The sequence below is a fragment of the Homo sapiens genome, chromosome 8 (assembly GCF_000001405.40).
Source record: "Homo sapiens chromosome 8, GRCh38.p14 Primary Assembly".
Classification (NCBI taxonomy): domain Eukaryota; kingdom Metazoa; phylum Chordata; class Mammalia; order Primates; family Hominidae; genus Homo; species Homo sapiens.
Genome location: NC_000008.11, coordinates 84,166,451 through 84,184,520, shown reverse-complemented (window position 1 = coordinate 84,184,520; position 18,070 = coordinate 84,166,451). Strand labels below are relative to the sequence as shown.

Here is an 18,070-nt window from a genome sequence, read left to right as displayed (position 1 = left end):
CACAGACACACACACACACTCACACTCACACATTTCTTTGCTAGGACCAGTGTTGCCACTGCACACCCGGGAAACGCCTCCAAGGGGACCAAGTACCTGCTCTCTGCGAGCTGCTCAGCTGTTCACTTCATCCTCCGTTGACAAGGAAACCAAACCGCACTTCATTTTTTTTTTTCCAGAAAAACCTTCCACTGCCATCATTTGAAAATTGATTTACGGGGAGGGAAGGGGGAGAAATAAGGGACAATATAGATATAGATATCAGGATATCTATCATAAAATTATCTCGGTTTTTTAAAAAAGTCAAATGTGCAAAAGTCATAGTTAATTTAAAGGAGGAAAAAAGTATTTTGCTTAAAAATGATCCCAATCACCAGCTGTAAGAAAAGTTTCATGTTATCAATGGGTATCAAAAACAGGAGGGAAAAAAAACGAATTTGTTTTCACCGGCTTCCAAAAAGGGCACAAAAAATATAAAATTAATGTCTTTGCTCAGTGGTTTGCACCAGTATTGCAAGACCACAAACTTGTAAACACTGCCGTAAAATCCCACCTATACAAAAATGTTATCAGAAAAAGAGTATGCAAAAAAAGAGTTAGAAACATGCTTTTTATTTTTACAAAGGAAAAAAATAGGCACCATACTTCACATCGCTTTTTCCATAAAACCAGTTGCACATTTTGCTGGACTTGGGAGACGCTCCCAGCGGGCACGGTCGCCGCGGACTCCGAGACACAGCGCCTTGTCTACAGAACGATCGCATGCTAGAAAAACTTGGATTCAGGAAAAGGCTCAAAACCATGCTCCTCCAGCTTTCCCAAATATAAACAATAATCAAAGAAGTGGAAAAAAAGAAAAAAAACAAAAACAAAAAAAACAAAAAACCAAAAAAAAGGACAAAAAAAAGAATAGGACAAGAATGCCACTGAGAAGGTACTCACCGAGCGGGAGTAAAATGTTGGAATAAAAATGAGATTTAGTATAAAATACAGTATGGCGGTGGAAGAAGGAATGAAGCGCGTTTTTTTCTCGCAGTCTCTGCCTCAGGCACTGACACGTGACTCGGAGCCAGGCTGACTTGCAGGCAGCGGGGAAGGACCGAGGCTGCGAGGGGGGAAGCCCACGGAGCCCAACTCTGGCTGGCGAGGCGGCGGCGGCGGCGACGGGGAGCCTGGCGCCTGAGAGCGGCAACACCAGTGGCGGCAGCAGCGGCAGCGGCAGCTCGCGGCGAGGCTGCCTTCGCTGTGAGCCCAGACGAGCAGGTGCCCCTCACGCTGAGGCTGAGCACACGCACACGCACACGCAAGACAGGCAGGGCGCCGGCGAGAGGGGGAGCCGAGCGGGGTTGGGCCCGAGGCGCGCAGCTGCCGCCGCCTCTGCCGCTGCTGCCGCGATTGCTGCTGCTGCCTCTGTTGCTGCCGCCGCCGCCTCGCATTGGGAGTGTGTGCTGTGGGGGCAGCTCAGGGGTGCTGATCCAGCGCCTTGAGAGGAGGTGCACAACTTGCTGCTCACCTCAAAGTTGTTGCTTGCCACTTCCTTGTGTATTTCATCTATTTTTCATCTACAGGTAGTTACCTGGGGAGAGATCCCATCGTCTTCTCTCTGGAAGTTTTACTATTCAAGCCCACATTCACTCATTCATTTTGTTTGTTTGTTTGTTTGTTTCCCTGATTTTCCATTTCCCATCCCTCCCAAGCTGCCTTTGCCTCTGCTGTTCCCTCCTCCCTAGATCTGCGTTTCCCCCTCCCGGTTCTCAGGGAACCTGGCTCAGCGCGATGCTGGGGGCGTTGTCACGGGCAAAGCCACTGTCAATCTTTATTGCCATCTGAACGCACAGCCTCTCTTTCGCCGTCTTCAAGGGGAATGCTTGCAGTTTGAAAGACACAACAAAATCTCTTATTTAGGAAACCCCGTCCCGGGTTTCTTTCTGCGGGTTGCGGAGCGGTGGGTGGGGGCATGGGTGTCCTTTATTCATTCGTGGACAAGGCATTGTTTTGTCTGTGTGTGCGCCCGTGCTTCTGAGCTGGTCTGGAAAGCTCCAAGGGTCTATGCTCCATGGCAGAGACTCCTGTTTGACTCTTGCTCAAGTTGTTCGCTGAGGCTGGAAGTCAAAGGAGAGGGGCATGGGAAACAAGTGAGTCCATTGTGTGAGTGCTCGCCTGGAGGGAGCAAGCACTTGGCGGTCGAGAGGGGGAGACGTGTACCAGCAGTGAGGCGGTGGCGCACCCCGCGGGAGCCAGGTGGCTGAGCAGTGGATTCTGAAGGTGAGGGTGGCAGAGGGATTTCTCCACCCAGCGTGTGGGTTAGGGCGCTCATCGATCGCCTGAACAAAGATGCCATCAGCCAATCGCTGGGTGCATTGGGCTTCTATTACTGCCTGTTGAAGAATCAGCTTTGTGGACGCTAGAACACATCTATTTTTCTTCATTTTTGTACAATACTCACCTCAGGACCATTTCCCTGTGCTGCTTTGAATCTAGGTTGTGTGGAATTAATTGGCGTCTCTATATTTGAGAATGAGCAATTAACACAATTCTGCAGTTCAAAGATTCCTGCTCCCGATCTTTATCTCAATGTTTCCAATGCTGACGTTTCATATAAAATGCCTCCATCAGAGATGATCTAACCTCGACATTCTGAAAATTAAGTACACATCCTTCACACAGAGCTTCAGTAGCAAATATGGTCCTCAAACATTGTGCTCAGAATTCATTGGCCAAATAAAGTTTTAATCCGCAATTTAAATAAGAGATTTAAAATAGCCATTAAAATATCACTAAATATTTATTTTGGTGAGTTGCCAACTGTACACCCACTTATTATACATACTTTCCAGGGAGGACTGTTGATTAGGAATACTGACAGAGAGAGATGAATACATCAAAGTGGATTTGATAACTTTGGAAGCCTTGAGTTCTACTCGGAAATCACAGAATTTTAAGCTGGCTAATACAGATCAAATATTGTGCTCTCGCTGTAAAACATGTTGGACTTATTTTATTTTATTTTATTAAGTAAGATCTCTTTACACGTGATCTTTTTCTTCCACAAGTCCTGAATTAATTTTATCTAGGATTTAAAACTTAGTTTGTTAAATTTTCCACATTTTCTCTTCCATTTGAAAATATATCTGATTCTAAACATTTAAGAAGAAAATATTTTAATGCATATCTTTTTCCATCATTCATATCACAGTGGTATTCAAATGTGAAAAACTTCACTTTAAAAATGAGTTTTGAACCTTTCAACCAGGCTGGGAAGAGTTATTCAAGAAGAACTTTGAAAAACAAGCTATTTAGAATTACACTGCACTAATGGCTGTCAGCCAATCACAGTGATTGTCAGTCTTTTATTATTCAATAAAATGACTCCCCTTTATGTTAATGCAGCTCTGCTGAAGAAAAGCAAGACATCAATATCCTCCCTGCACTTTTCCCGTTTACTTATATAATTACATTAGAGTACTCAAAATATTCCACTATCGTTTATTTCCAGTGTGCCATTTTCATCTTTTTGGGTTGTATCACTGCATTATAAACAAGAGTAAACAAAGTCAGGTTGAGGCAACTGGTATTTAGAAAGTATAGCCACTCATTTAATTTTTGTAACAGCTCCATGACATTGACTTTATACTCATTTTAACCATTAGAAAAATAAAGTCAGAGATTTTGAGTAATTTGCACATGATTCTATTGTTAGTACACAGGAAAAACAGGATTGAACCAAAATTATATCTGGTTTTACAGCTAGAATAAAAAAATTCAAAAAATACATCAAAGATACTGAATACTCTTCAGTAATGTCATCAAAGCCAATTAACAAAGGCATGATTTGCTCAAATTCAGTAGATCTAAAATAGATTTGTGAGAATTAATTTAGTCCTATTATTGCCACAAATAACCATTGTAGTACACATATTTATATTCACCTTTTTGATTCTATAAAATACCTGAAGAAAATAAACGAAATGCAGAAGTGAGGGGGTTAAATTTTTCTTAACGAAAAATCTGTACAAAAGATGTGGTCATGTTATCGTGGTTACGTCTTCAGGAGTTGACTACAGAGACTTTTTAAAACAAAGTTTTCATGTAAACTGTTCATGTCCATTCCAAGCTAAGCCATGGTATAATTGAAAAGTACACTAAATGTAAGATAAAACAAATGATGGTAACTGAGGAAAAAAATCTATTTTAAAATTTATGCTATGTAATCTCAATGTTTGTTTCCATAAGAAAATATTGAAGATATATGAACCATAACTATATATATATATATAAAATATAAATATACACTTAGAAATTAGGTTATAATATCATGGTTTAAATGCATACTTTTACATTCAGTACCCTCAAATCATTTTCTTTCATTTTGCTTGCTAATTTTTTTCATAACTTTATGAATTTTATTTTTGATTAATTTTTTTCCTTATTTGTCCTGTCTCTGCCTATTACTATACTTTACTGATACTTCTCTTTCAACGTCTGATAGCATTTTTTCCAATACTTTTGTTTGGAGAAACTACAAATACCAAGACAAAGACATGTGAAATAATGTGTACAAATAACCAAAGAAAATATATGAAAACAAATATTAACATTATAATATGTCATGAGTAAAATAAAGCAAGAAGCACTACCACAATTTCTGTGTAATTTAATTTTTAATATATTTCAACTGTTTTTTTAAATATATTTTTAACTTTTACTTTAAGTTCAGGGGTACAAGTGTAGGCTTGTTGCATAGGTAAACTTGTGTCATAGGGATTTGTTATACAGATTATTTCATCACCCACGTATCAAGCCTAGTACCCATTAGTTATTTTTCCTGATCCTCTCGCTCTTCCTACCCTCCACCCTCGAAGAGGCCCAAGTGTTTTATTTCACTCTTCACATTGTATATTAATGGAATTCAAAAAATTCTGATATGTAGACTAAAATACATAATACGTTAAGGTTTATTATGATTTAGGTACACTCATATTTATTTCCATATTAAATTAATAAAATGTCTATTCTCTAGAAAGTTAATGTAGAACAAATTAATGTCTACTAGTATTATTGTATCAATATGTTTATTTTGAATTAAATACATGGAGTATAGTTCTATGATACAGTAGCCTGCAATAGTGACAGGGTGTGTACAAAAGAAATCACTGAGGTGTTTCCTGATAAATATACTTGAGGCACAGAGAGAAAAAAGAACAAGACATGTTTAGGGTTCTGCATCATTTGCTATTATTCACTGATTACTGATCTGACAATAATCCATTCTAAACACAGTTTAAAATGTCACTTTATAAATTTAGCAGCTGTGAATTCATCCAAGACGCTTCTTCAGATTTTAGGAGCTAAAGATATAAATACTGCTATTCTGGAGCCAGAAATAGGCACCGTAAAAGTTCTACAGGTTAAAAATATTACTAATTTAAAAATACATAGAGGAAGTAAGGATAGAAAAGAGAGGAGGAGAGAGAAAGGAAAATTGTATGACCAAGAGCACTGCGGGCCTGGAAAATCTCCAAAATAATACTTGAGAAATGTATGACAAGTGCAAACACCGGACAGATTTGGGTCATACCGATGAGTCTTAAAATGCATGTGGCAAAAGCACATTAGAAAAATAATGTTTTTGCCTAAAAACTCCAGGAAACAATGTTGCTGAGGTTAACAAAACTCTAAATCAGAGGAAGTAACATTTTTTAAAAAAGGGAGAGAAAAAAACAGAAAGAGGTACCTTTATTTATATCTACAAATCAAGAGATTTGTTGATCTGAATGACCAGACTGATCTCACTGCAAAAGTAATTTTAAGTAGAAAAATCTTGAAGATGTACAGAGAAAACTGACATTTTACTGTCCACCCACAAGATTTTAAGGTATGAAGTTGTCCCTTTGTATACCATGATACAAAGTCATCCCTAGATATGGGGGACTGCTTCCTCAAGTACCAAAATCTTGTATGCTCAAGTTTTAAGATGGTATATTGTTTGCATATAACTTATGCACTTCCCCATACTTTAAATCATCTCTAGGTTACTTATAATACTTAGTGCAATGTAAATGCTATGTGAATAGTTGTCATACTATATTGCTTTTAAATTTGTATTCTTTATTGTTTTATTGGTTTTTATTTTTCCAAAATATTTTCAATTCATGGTTGATTAAATCTGTGAGGATTCAGAACCTACAGGTACAGAGAGCTGAAGTTATTATTCTGGTTTTTTTTCATTTGTTTACTTGTTTTCATTTTTAAAACCTTAGGTTTAGAGATTATGTGGATTTTAAGTATCGATATTAATTTAATTAAACTCAAATTATTTTTTTGAGTTAGGGGTTATTCATTTGTTCTTTGTTTAAAGATTATAGCAATCAAGAGATGAATATATGGCATCAGTTGATTATTATCAAGTCTCGGTCTCCTGTCAATAATACTTGTAATTTCTGTGAAATTTAGTAAATTATTTATTTTTATCAATAATAATCTTAAAAGTGGAAGATAAAATTTCCTTTTCTAGGAATGAAATTAACAGATTTTCAAAGGCTAGGTAAGTATATTAAAATAATTTTATTATGACAATCATGTGACAATATTCTCTGCAGCCTCTAATGAGACAGCTGAACATTTAAATAATTAATATTTACTCATTTGCATCCTTTGTACTAACATATGTGTGAATAGACATTTGGTAAAAAAAAGTTACAGGAAACAGTTGATTAAGTTGTGGTATGTACAGATCTGTATTCTTTTTGGTCTCATTGAAACCATAAATAGGTTGTTTTTGTATAACTTTTCTGTTTTATATTCTTAATTTCCTCTGACACCCTCTGTTCTCTTTTTACTCTCTCTCAGAACTCAGATCTCTTATATCTTCCTATACATATTCTAGGTATGTACGTGGGGTGAGATAGGACAGTAACCTTTTATACTAACAGATGTGTAAATAGGCATTTGGTAAAGATAATTATAGGAAATAGTGATTATGTATGTGATATGTATATGTCTGTATTCCCCAAATTCCTTCTTTTTCCCCTGTGGATATTTCTCCCTCTTCAGTGTAGTGGGGGTCAAACTTGTTAAGACCTGAGAAGATCACAGCCCTCAGCTGTTTGGCTTCAGGGCAGTAAATTATTTGTTGTTTTATTCATTTCAAGCTCCAGAGAAAACAGGAGCAAAGATCAAACACAGGCTTTCCCAATAAAAATATAATGAACTACGAGTAAGCCACTGGACAAAATATGAATATTTCAACAACAAACCTACAAATAAACATTCCAGTTAAGCCTCACATCACAGAAAAGCAGTATATCATTCATATCATTTGTAAAGATTCTCAATATTTTAAATTCAGATTAAAATGTAAACGGATCCATAATTGATTGTACTTAATTATCCTTAAGTTTTTTTAAAAAATGATCTTAAAGTTTTTTATAATATTAAAAAATTTCCTAAAGTTTGCAGAGAAATCAATATAGCTGGCATCTGGCATGAATTAGTTTCCTCAACAAAATATTATTTCACCTGAGAATCTTTGTTCTCATTGACTAATGAAGGAAACGCACAAATTTACTAGGCAATATTAACTTTATTTTAGTACGAAAATCTCAAAAGAGTTTATTATTAGATGCTTGTAATGATACTTTTGCAATAAAGAAAGACTTTCAAAGAAATATTATTTATATATTATCTTTATATAAAGATTGAGAAGCTAGTATTAAACTTCAACTTAGTAAAAGCATGTCTGCAGGATTCTGTTTTCTATCTATTCTGTAACTACACAGGGTTTGGTTTTTGAGAACCTGGAGTAACGGACAGTTAATATGTCCCCTACATATTGATAAATATCAGATTTTCAAGCAAGCCTTTCCCCAATACTGGATCACAGTCAAATCATGGTTGAATTATTTCACAAATGCTTGAAGTGCTGATACAGTGCTAAATAGAAATTCATATGCTTAAGATACCAAGCATTCAGGTAGTAGAAATGATATCACTTGTGAAAATTTAGGGCCTGATTTGTATGTGTCAATCAGGTAGAGAGCCGGGCCACACCCTCAAAGTGGTGTGATGTAGGGTAGATATCAGTAACTAGGTACGTTTTTGGCTTTGGAAAAAGCACTGGGTAATTTGGCTATGTGTTCTATGAAGACGCAGAATCCTGTCAAGAGGAAGAAGTAAGGTCCCAAACAGTTTTAAGGACAAGTATTTCAATAAGCAGCCCAAACAAAAGGGCAGCTTTTAAAAAAGTTTTATTTTATTTTTAATTGACAAAGAATAGTTACACATATTTATTGGGTGCAACGTGAAACTTTGATACATGTAAACGTTGTGGAATGATCAAATCAGGAAAAATAGCTCTGATATTGAATAGAATTGTATCCTTAAGCATCTGACAGGATGTCAAGGTTAAAAGCATTCCCGGAAGTATCCAAATCCACATGCTTATCTTTGAGATTACTTATCATTATCCTTGCAACAATGTAAGAATCCTGCCCCAAATAGCAATTCAACAATAATATGAAACTTTTATCCCAAGGCTAAATGGCTTTTGTAGTTGTTACCAGTTTGTGCCCCTTCTGAAATGCCAGGGAACAAAAATTTTCACAGTCCATGGCTACCATCATTTAGTTACTTATTCATATATTTCTCTGCTCATTCATGTGTTTTGTTCACTCATTAAAGTGAGCTTTTTTCCAGACATGCAACACCCCCCACACTACTAGCTCAATGCAGGGGAGACAAAAATAGAGGACGCAAGTTGCTATGTCCAGCACATGCCTCAAGATAAAGCATCCTCAATTGCAGCTGTGTGGTCTTTTACAAGTCCTGCCTACGCTTTCCCCCCGCCGTTTTTCACATAAAGAAGCTGCTTCCCTTATTCAAGTCAAGTCCTTTATACTTCTATTACTCTCTTTTCTCCTTACACATGATCTTATCTCCTACATTATGGCTATAGCCAAGCTAGAACTTGTAGGATAATTTGGAGTTTTGGAAGAGAGGAGAAATTATAGAGAAATGAGGTGAAGGAAGCTGTGAGAAGAACAGACAACAAAGGAAAGAAGTATCTGTGAAAGATTCAAATGAAAATCTCTATTGCACAATTGGAAAATACTTATCTGGAGCTCAAGAGAGTGATCCAGATTAGGGCTAATAAATATGGATAAAATCAGTTAATACTGTAACACCATATGGCATAGATACTATTATAATCCTCATTTTACAGATGAGGAAAGTGGTATGCAGAGAGGTGATGTAATTTGTCTGCAATTACACACCATCTGCAGTGTGATTTGAAGCTCTTAACAAGCTCCCAAGAAACACCAATGTTTAAGACTGCAAAGGAACTGTCAAAATGCAATGGAAACTAGAAGAGTTTTGAGATGGCAAGAGTGGTCAAGAGAGCCAAATGTTGCTGAGAGTTCAAGAGAAAGAGGTGATTTTGTGCAGAAATAGATGATACAGAAGAAAAGCATTAGAAAGATTCTAAAAATATCTCTTTGGTGAGAACTTTGCAATCAGAACACCCCACATCGCATAGAAGGTTGTTACTGCTATCCGTCCTTAAGGGAAAAACATCACCGGTGTTATGGCAATGTCACTAGAGAGGTGTAAAGGTGAGAACTGAAATGACTTTGGGAAAAGGTTTTGGAAGATTGAGAAGAAAAAAGAGAAGGTAATTTGATGTCACCTTTTTCCTGAGAGAATGAAGGTATCCTTGTTTACTTTAAAAAAAAAAAAAAAAAGAGGCGGGGGAGTTGGGGGATGAATTGGTGTTGGAACTTGTCTTGGAAAAAGTTGTTAATTTAGTTTGGGGACATGTTGTGCTAGAAGTGACAGGAAGAGATACAGATAGAATTACCCGGTTGCTAATAAGAAAAAGTGCTTCTTGTAGCTTAAATTTCCCAGTTGTCTCTTCAGAGTCTTGAGAGTAATTCGCACAGATTTTGAGAGTTGAGGCTCTTTGAATGGATGAGATCTGCAAATGTAATACCTGGAGAGATCACAGGGGCTAAAGTTTCAAGAATCCAGATTTAAAGAGGAAAATGAGACAAGGGAGTAAATTGAAAAAGAGGTGTTAGGGAGTTTAAGTAGAGAGCATATATATTTCACTAATTTTTTTCTTCAAAATGTGATTATCAGATACAATCTAAGCATGTTATTACCAGATTTCCTTGATTATAAGAATTAAAATTGTACTTAACAAGTTTTATTTGGATTATATTTTATAGCAGATATAGATATTTAATATAGAGATTTCTTTCCCATTCTTGATAAGGTTTTACTAAATAGATGTTTCTTTTATTTGATGGTTTCTTAGAATTTAAAAATATATATTACAAGCACTCATAGACTTTCATTTATGATTTATACATATTTTATTACTGTAAAGGAGAGATTATTTGTTATCCTTCATGTTAACTCAGTTTATGTAGAGTGGGAGGAGGTAATATATTTAGGAATTTAAGATCCATTAGTAACCTGTTCAGAGCTCCAATAATGGTGCATAAGCATGGATACTGAGGACCAGAGGAGAAAGCTTATTTTTTTAAAGCCCCAATTTCCTGCTCTGCAAATATCTAGGAGCATTAAAAATGATGACATGCAGATATCTGCTACATGTACTGTTAATACTGCCTACATGTATAATGTGAACAAGTGATGAAGAATAATAATTACAATGAAGCAGTTTTAAACAGGTTCAGGAAGAATTAGCCATAAGGAAGATACTGCTGAGATGCTTATGAAAGCTATGGAGTTGTCCCTTGTGATGCGCTTTGTCAGGCAGAACTAATTATCTGTGGATGATAAGAGAAAATATGGTGAAAAACAGCAGCCATTTCCCATAGCGGGAGTATCCATTTAAAACCCAACAACTCCCTGAACCATGAGATAATTGAAACAGTACCAAAGCTGGCATGAATAACAAGGCATGTACTGTCTTTCCTGGAAGGTGGTGGGGGCTGACAGTGAAAATAAGTCCAAATGCATCTTAGAAAAATTAAATTTTATTTCAACTGTTTGACATTATTCAATTAGAATAAGAAAGGAATTATAAAATGCACCCAAACTAAGGATTTCTAGCCAGAAAAATTAACTTAGTTTGCTGAAGTTTGCAGATGGCATAATCTGATATGTTCCTAATCTTTGTATTTTGCAGTTTGAATATGAAACAAACTTGAAAGATTTTTTTTAGTATGTCTTTGCTTATATATTCAGCAATTAAAATTAAGATTTAAGGGTCTCAATGAAATTTGTTTCAAATTAAAAGAAATATTAACAGAACTTAAATATTCGAACAAAAAGAAAGTTATTCTTTTTCCTGAATTCAGTTAATAGCAACAAAGAATGATATACAGAATTGTTTGCTGACATTTCCCTCTCACACTATTCTGCCCCAATACCCAACATCCCAATTTTCCAGGGCCAGGGTATCATCTAAAGATCTCATCAAAGACCAGATCTCTTCTATGCATCTTTTCTTTTATGCTTAGACTGTGGCTTTCATTATCCTGCTGCTAAAACTGCTGCTTCTGGTCAACAGGAAGGTGTAAAGGTCAGAAGGTAAAGGAAGCCAGGAAAGTGACCATCTTTTAAAAAAATGTTTAATTTTTAATTTTAGTGGGTACATTGTAGGTGAATATATTTATGGGGTGCATGAGATGTTTTGATACAGGCATGCATTGCATAATAATCATGTCATAGAGAAAGGTGTATTCATCCCCTTAAGCATTTATCCTTTATGTTACCAACAGCCTAATTATACACTTTTAGTTATTTTAAAATGTACCATTAAATTATTACTGACTCTAATCACCCTATTGTGCTATCAAATAGTAGGTCTTATTCATTCTTTGTAATTATTTTTTGTACCCATTAACCATCCTCACCTCCTCCCAACACGCCACTACTCTTCCCAGCCCCTGGTAAAATAAGGATTTTGTTAGCAAAGAAGGGGAGAATAGGTATTATTAATGCAACTAGCAGTGTTTGCCAGATATATTACTTTTATCAGATAAATTACTTATCTGATACTCAGAGAAGTAATAGAGCAGGGATTCCATGTCTTTTAGAATATTTAATTAGATCCATGATGTACAGCACAGGGACTCCAAGAGTAGCCCTTAATATTTATTTACTCAATAAAGAAATCATCTGAATGTTGCAGAAAATTTAGGGAAAAGAATACAAAACATTCAGCAAAACTACTAACTTTTTTTTTAAGATGAAATTTAAAAGTTGAATAAATGGTCAATAAAAGAGGATATTTGAACTTTTATCAATTTATTTTCTCTGCGTTATATTTCCCATTCTAAGAATAATCAGAAGACAGGGCGCTGTGGCTCACGCCTGTAATCCCAGCACTTTGGGAGGCCAAGGCAGGTGGATTGCTTGAGGTCAGGAGTTCAAGACCATCCTGACCAACATAGTGAAAACCTGTCTCTACTAAAAATACAAAAAATTAGCTGGGCGTGGTGGTGGGCACCTGTTGTCCCAGCTACTCAGGAGGCTGAGGCAGGAGAATTGCTTGAGCCCAGGAGGCAGAGGTTCCAGTGAGCTGAGATTGTGCCATTGCACTCCAGCCTAGGTGACAGAGCAAGACTCTGTCTCAAAACAAAACAAAACAAAACAAAAAAAATCAGAAGTTAATTGTAAATGGAAGCAATGCGGTATGCTATATTGTTTATAAAAATGAAAGATGACTGAAAATTTCTGTTATGATTGTTAAAAACATATGTTTTGAGGTTTTTTTACTGTAAATTTTAAATAATGATGAGATAGGAGCATTTCTTTTTTTTTTTTTTTTTTTAATCTTTTTGTTTTGGTTTGTTTTTAACTGCAGTGGTGTCATCATGGCTCACTCACTGCGGTCTCAAACTTCTTGCCTCAAGTGATGGACCTGAACTCAACTCAAGTGATCCTCCTGCTTCAGCCTCCCAAAAATGCTAAGATTACAGCCATAAGCCACCATGACCAGTCCCTTTTCTTTTTTTTTAACCTTTTTAAAATGCTCATTTCTTTGTTCTCATTGAATCCTAAAGATGGATGTAAGTTATGATAAACTGCATTGCTATTCATGTGATCCTTTCCTTTCTACTGTCTCCTCATCTCTTCAGAAAGGCAGCATTTTTTTTGAGTTTATAATGATATTGATAGCCAGTTTAAGTGCAACCGTCAGGAAGCAATATAAAATCAATTTAAAATCAGTAGGTTTTAGGAATCATTTCTTAAAATGGAGATTTTTAAAAGAATGTACATGTATGGAAAGAATGAACTTAGAATATTTGCAAATAGTAATTATATTGACATAGTAAGAAGGTGTAGTAGAGTATAAAACTATGGATGCTAACATAATTAGAATAAAACTGATCACATAATTTTTTGAAACAGGTATATCTGTTCTTAAATGTGATGCTCACTTATCAAAAGAGAAAAATATTTTCAACTCTTGTCAGCAGAAACTAATTGTTGGCATATTTAAGGTAAAACACATGGATCCAAAAGCACAATTACAAACTTTTCTGCATTATGAAAAAATAATAAAACTGGCTTCTCAAACACCAATTTTTTATTAAAATCAAAATTTCAAGCCAATCATCAAAAAAACATGTTTTGTCACTCAACTGTTATACATTATAATGTCCATGTAGTATATTCAAAGAAAATGTCTATATTTATTTTAATAGGCTAATATTTATTATTTAGAATGTTTGTTATAGTCTTTGCATTGTGATGCTGCATATTAGTAATATTACAATGTTGGTAACCATTTTTCACAAAATTAGAAAAAAACTACTCTAAAATTCATATGGAACTAAGAAAGGGTCTGACTAGCCAAGGCAATACTAAGCAGAAAAGAATTAAGCCAGAGGCATCACATTACCCAACTTGCCACTATACTACAAGGCTACAGTAACCAAAACAGCACGGTACTAGTACAAAAATAGACTCACAGATCAATGAAACAGAATAGAGAACTCTGTAATAAAGTTGTACACTTAAAATCAACTGATTTTTGACAAGTCAGCAAAAATAAACAATGAGGAAAGGATTTCCTATTCAATTAATGGTGCTTAGAAAAATGGCTAACCATACGCAGGAGAATGAAACTGAACCCTTTACTTTCACCATATACAAAAATTAACTCAAGATAAATTAAACGCTTAAATCTCAATAGATCTCAAACTATTAAAATCCTAGAACAAAACCTAGGAAATACTCTTCTGGACATTGGTGTAGGCAAAGAATTTATGACTAAGTCCTCGAAAACAAATGCAAAAAAAAAAAAAAAAAAAAAAAAAAGAACGGGTGCGAACTAAATGAAAGAGCTTCTGCACAGCAAAAGAAAGTATCAACAGAATAAACAGACAACCCATAGAATGGGAGAAAATACTTGGAAACTACGCGTCTGGCAAAGGGTTAATATCCAGAATCTATCAGGAACTTAAACAAATCAACAAGAAAAAAACAACCCCATAAAAGACATGTACAGACATTTCTCAAAAGAAGACATACAAGTGGCCAACAAACATATGAAAAAGTGCTCATCATCACTAATTATCAGAGAGATGCAAATCAAAACTGAAAGATTCTCCCCGGGGCCTGAAAGCTTAAGGGGATGAATAACTCCTCCCTCCTCAGGCCCAGTCCCAAGGTGCAAGGCCACTTGCTCCAGCAGCGTGCGTCAGGCAAGATAGCAGAAGCAGGAAGAGAGCTGGCCAGAAGACACATACCCCCTGAAGATCTAGAGGGAGGCCATCCGGGTACTATGTAGCAGTTACGTCGGACTGGGACACTTCCTGTTTACAGAGGACTATGAAACCCCTGCCTGTCCTCACTTGGGGCTGACACCATTTTAGGCCTCAGCCCAGGCACTCATTAAAATAGCATGTTGCTCCACACCACCTCATGTTGTCCATTGGCATGCTCTTGGGGTTCGAACCAATACAAGAGCCTTGGAAAAACCACAATGAGATACCATCTCACACCAGTCAGGATGGCTATAAGTAAAAAGCCAAAAAATAACAGATGTTGGCAAGGGAAATGACACATTCACTACTGGCGGGAATGCAAATTAGTTCAGCCCCTGTGGAAATCAGTTTGGAGATTTCTCAATGAACTAAAAATAGAATTACCATTCAACCCAGTAATTGAATTACTACCGGGAATATACCCAAAGGAAAATAAATTATTCTACCAAAAAGACATTGCATTCATATGCTTATTGCAGCACTATTCACAATAGCAAAGACAACAAATCAACCCAGGTGCCCATTAGTGGTGGATTGGATAAAGAAAATGTGGTACATACATACCATGGAATACCACACAGCCATAAAAAACAGTGAAATCATGTCCTTTGCAACAACATGGATGCAGCTGGAGGCCATTGGCCTAAGTGAATTAATGCAGAAACAGAAAAACAAATACTGCTTTTTTTCACTTATAAGTGGGAGCTAAACAATGGGTACATAGAGACACAAAAATGGGGATAATTAACACTGGGTATTCTAAAAGGAGGTAGGAAAAAAGGGTTGAAAAACTAACTATTGGGTACTATGTTTACTGTTTGGGTGACGAGATCATCAGAAGCCCCAAACCCCAGTATCACATAATATATCCACGTAACAAACCTACACGTGTACCTCTGAAAATAAAATAAATTAAAATAAAATAAAAATGTTGGTAAAACCTAGGGTATCATTATATGAACACAATTTTTTAAAATATCTTATACTCACATTGGACCATTGGACCCCTTAGGGACATCACAAAATGAAAAATTACAAAACAAATAATTACAAAGAAACATTTTTACGTTCCTGTAAATGAGAGTTATTGTAAAGTAATAACTATATTTTGGCCTTTGGAAATTTATAATACACAGCAGCTGAAACTAATTTTATACACACACACACACACACACACACACACACACACACACACACAAACAGGGTGAAGAAATCCTATACACATATAAGGAAGAACACCTTGGCACAAGAATGTAAATTGCTCTCCTTACGTGTAAAGGATAATCCTCTAACTGACATGAACTGAAAAATACAACGAATCAAGTAGTTTCCCAGAAAGTGAGTGTAGCAGGAAGGAGTTCTTTTCTGTGGGGTTACAAGGGAGTTTAAAGTACAGAAAGAAAATCCCTGCAGGAGGGGAAGAAAAGTTACTGAAAGAAGATTAATTTTTTAAAAAATTTTTTTCTTGTTTCATTAAAAAAAAAGTAAGTGTTGTAGGAATGGATCCATTGTGGTTTTGAAAAAGGATTGGTTGACATGATCTTTCAGTGACGTAGTTTAGTGAATTTTATATTTAGAAGTTTTATTGCGTAGGGGAATGTATCTGCTTTTTAAGTGGCAGAATTCTTAGAGAAGGGAACTCTAAGGAACTGCCTGATGGACATTTGGCAATATGGGAGGTGAAATTAACTGAAGCCTGGGCTAAGACATCACAAACGCAGCAGTGTAGTATTTTAACAAAATGGTCTGGCTTGGGAGTCTGCACTCAACACAGGTTATTTTCCTTTTTCTCTTTCATTGTCTTAAGAAGCTTTATTTATTGTTTATAACCCAAAATGTAGTCATTTTTTAAAGAGCCAAATTCAATTAAAATCACATTATAAAACTTTCCTGTGACCATTAGGAAACAATTTCTTCTTACACTGAATCTATTACACTTACAATTAGCTTATTTTCACAATATTGCTTTGGAAATTCATAAACCATAGTTATATGAATAAATCCCTATTGCTCTTTACTTTGAAGCATATCTCATGGAGTTCCCTATGGAAGATGCAGCTTAATTATAAATCGATTCTTATAAACTCAAGTCCCTGGCCTCATGACTTTTTATTTGAACCTCATGTTTGAAAACAGCATTATCTCTGTTCATGTTGTCTACACATTATGGCGAGTCTGTTGTCTGTTACAGTTAGTATCCACATAGGCCTCTGGTATCAAGGTTTCAGTTACTCTTGGCATTATTTTGATCGCCTAAAGTTGTAACGTGGGCATGGAAAGTGAATTCCATGAGTGCCACATGGCCTGTATTTATGTTCAAACTTACTCTTGAAATTAAAAATCAATTCATGCTTTTTTTTTTTTTTTTTTTTTTGAAACAGGGTCTCACTCTGTTGCCCAGGTTGGAGGGCAGTGGCGCAATCTCAGCTCACTGCAACCTCCACGTCCCAGGTTCAAGCGATTCTCCTACCTCAGACTCCCAAGTAGCTAGGATTACAGGCATACGCCACGACGCCTGGCTAATTTCTGTATTTTTAGTAAAGACGGGTTTTACCTTGTTGGCCAGGCTGATCTGAAACTCCTGACCTCAAGTGATTTGCCCACCTCAGCCTTTCAAAGTGCTGGGATTACAAGCGTGAGCCACTGCACCCAGCCAATTCATATTATTCATATGATGCCAAAAGAGGAAATCACAGACTTTTAGTGTACCACACATTTGGGTTATCTACTGTATTATTATGCTTGATTTGTGATAATGTAACACATTTATTTAAGAATATTTGAAAATATTCATCTGTGTTTGTGTTTATCTCTTTCTTGCTGTGTATGTGTGTGTGAGAGAGGGACAGAGAGAGAAAGAGAGAGAGAGACTCATCTTTCTAACTAGATTCTAGTCACTGAGAGCAGATGAGCACTGTATAACTTGCACCCTACACAATAATAACAGTTGATAGAGTAAAAAAATAAACACAGTATATTGCTCAACAATAAGCTGAGTAGTGGGATCTGGAATCAAATATGGGATACTGGAGTTAATCCATGGCATTATTATTTCTGTATTCTTTAAACTTCTGGCACATACACACATGCAGATTTTAGTTACATTTAGTTATGTAAGGCATAATTCATACTTATTAATAAAAAAAACTTGGATTACACACATAAATGTCCATTTCTAGACAGGATGGCCACCAGCACTGGATTTCTGCTCAGTTCCTTAATTGAGCAACAAATGCTTGTTGAACAAATAGTTGGCATAAGCAAATGATGCTTCAGAAAAAGATGTATGGGATCCATCATGTTGAGTTGGCCTGATGTTGGTG

At 36.1% G+C, this 18,070-nt stretch overlaps 1 protein-coding gene across 39 annotated transcripts in view; it reads right to left on the bottom strand.

The window, feature by feature from the left end:
• The window catches only part of RALYL (RALY RNA binding protein like), a 739,058-nt gene extending 737,324 nt beyond the window's left edge, over positions 1-1,734 (bottom strand). For 14 of the 39 annotated variants that reach the window (NM_001413311.1, NM_001413307.1, NM_001354320.2 and 11 more), the window contains exon 1: positions 97-1,247. Coding sequence is in view for 1 of the 39 variants with exons in the window: in NM_001413301.1 (NP_001400230.1) it covers positions 1,514-1,551 (38 nt within the window). In the remaining 38 variants the exon portion in view is untranslated. Of the gene's footprint in view, positions 1-96; positions 1,248-1,513 lie in introns of those variants that run through there. The other 25 variants (NM_001413308.1, NM_001413314.1, NM_001100392.3 and 22 more) reach the window with 4 other exon arrangements.
• Between the last annotated feature and the right edge of the window lie 16,336 nt (positions 1,735-18,070).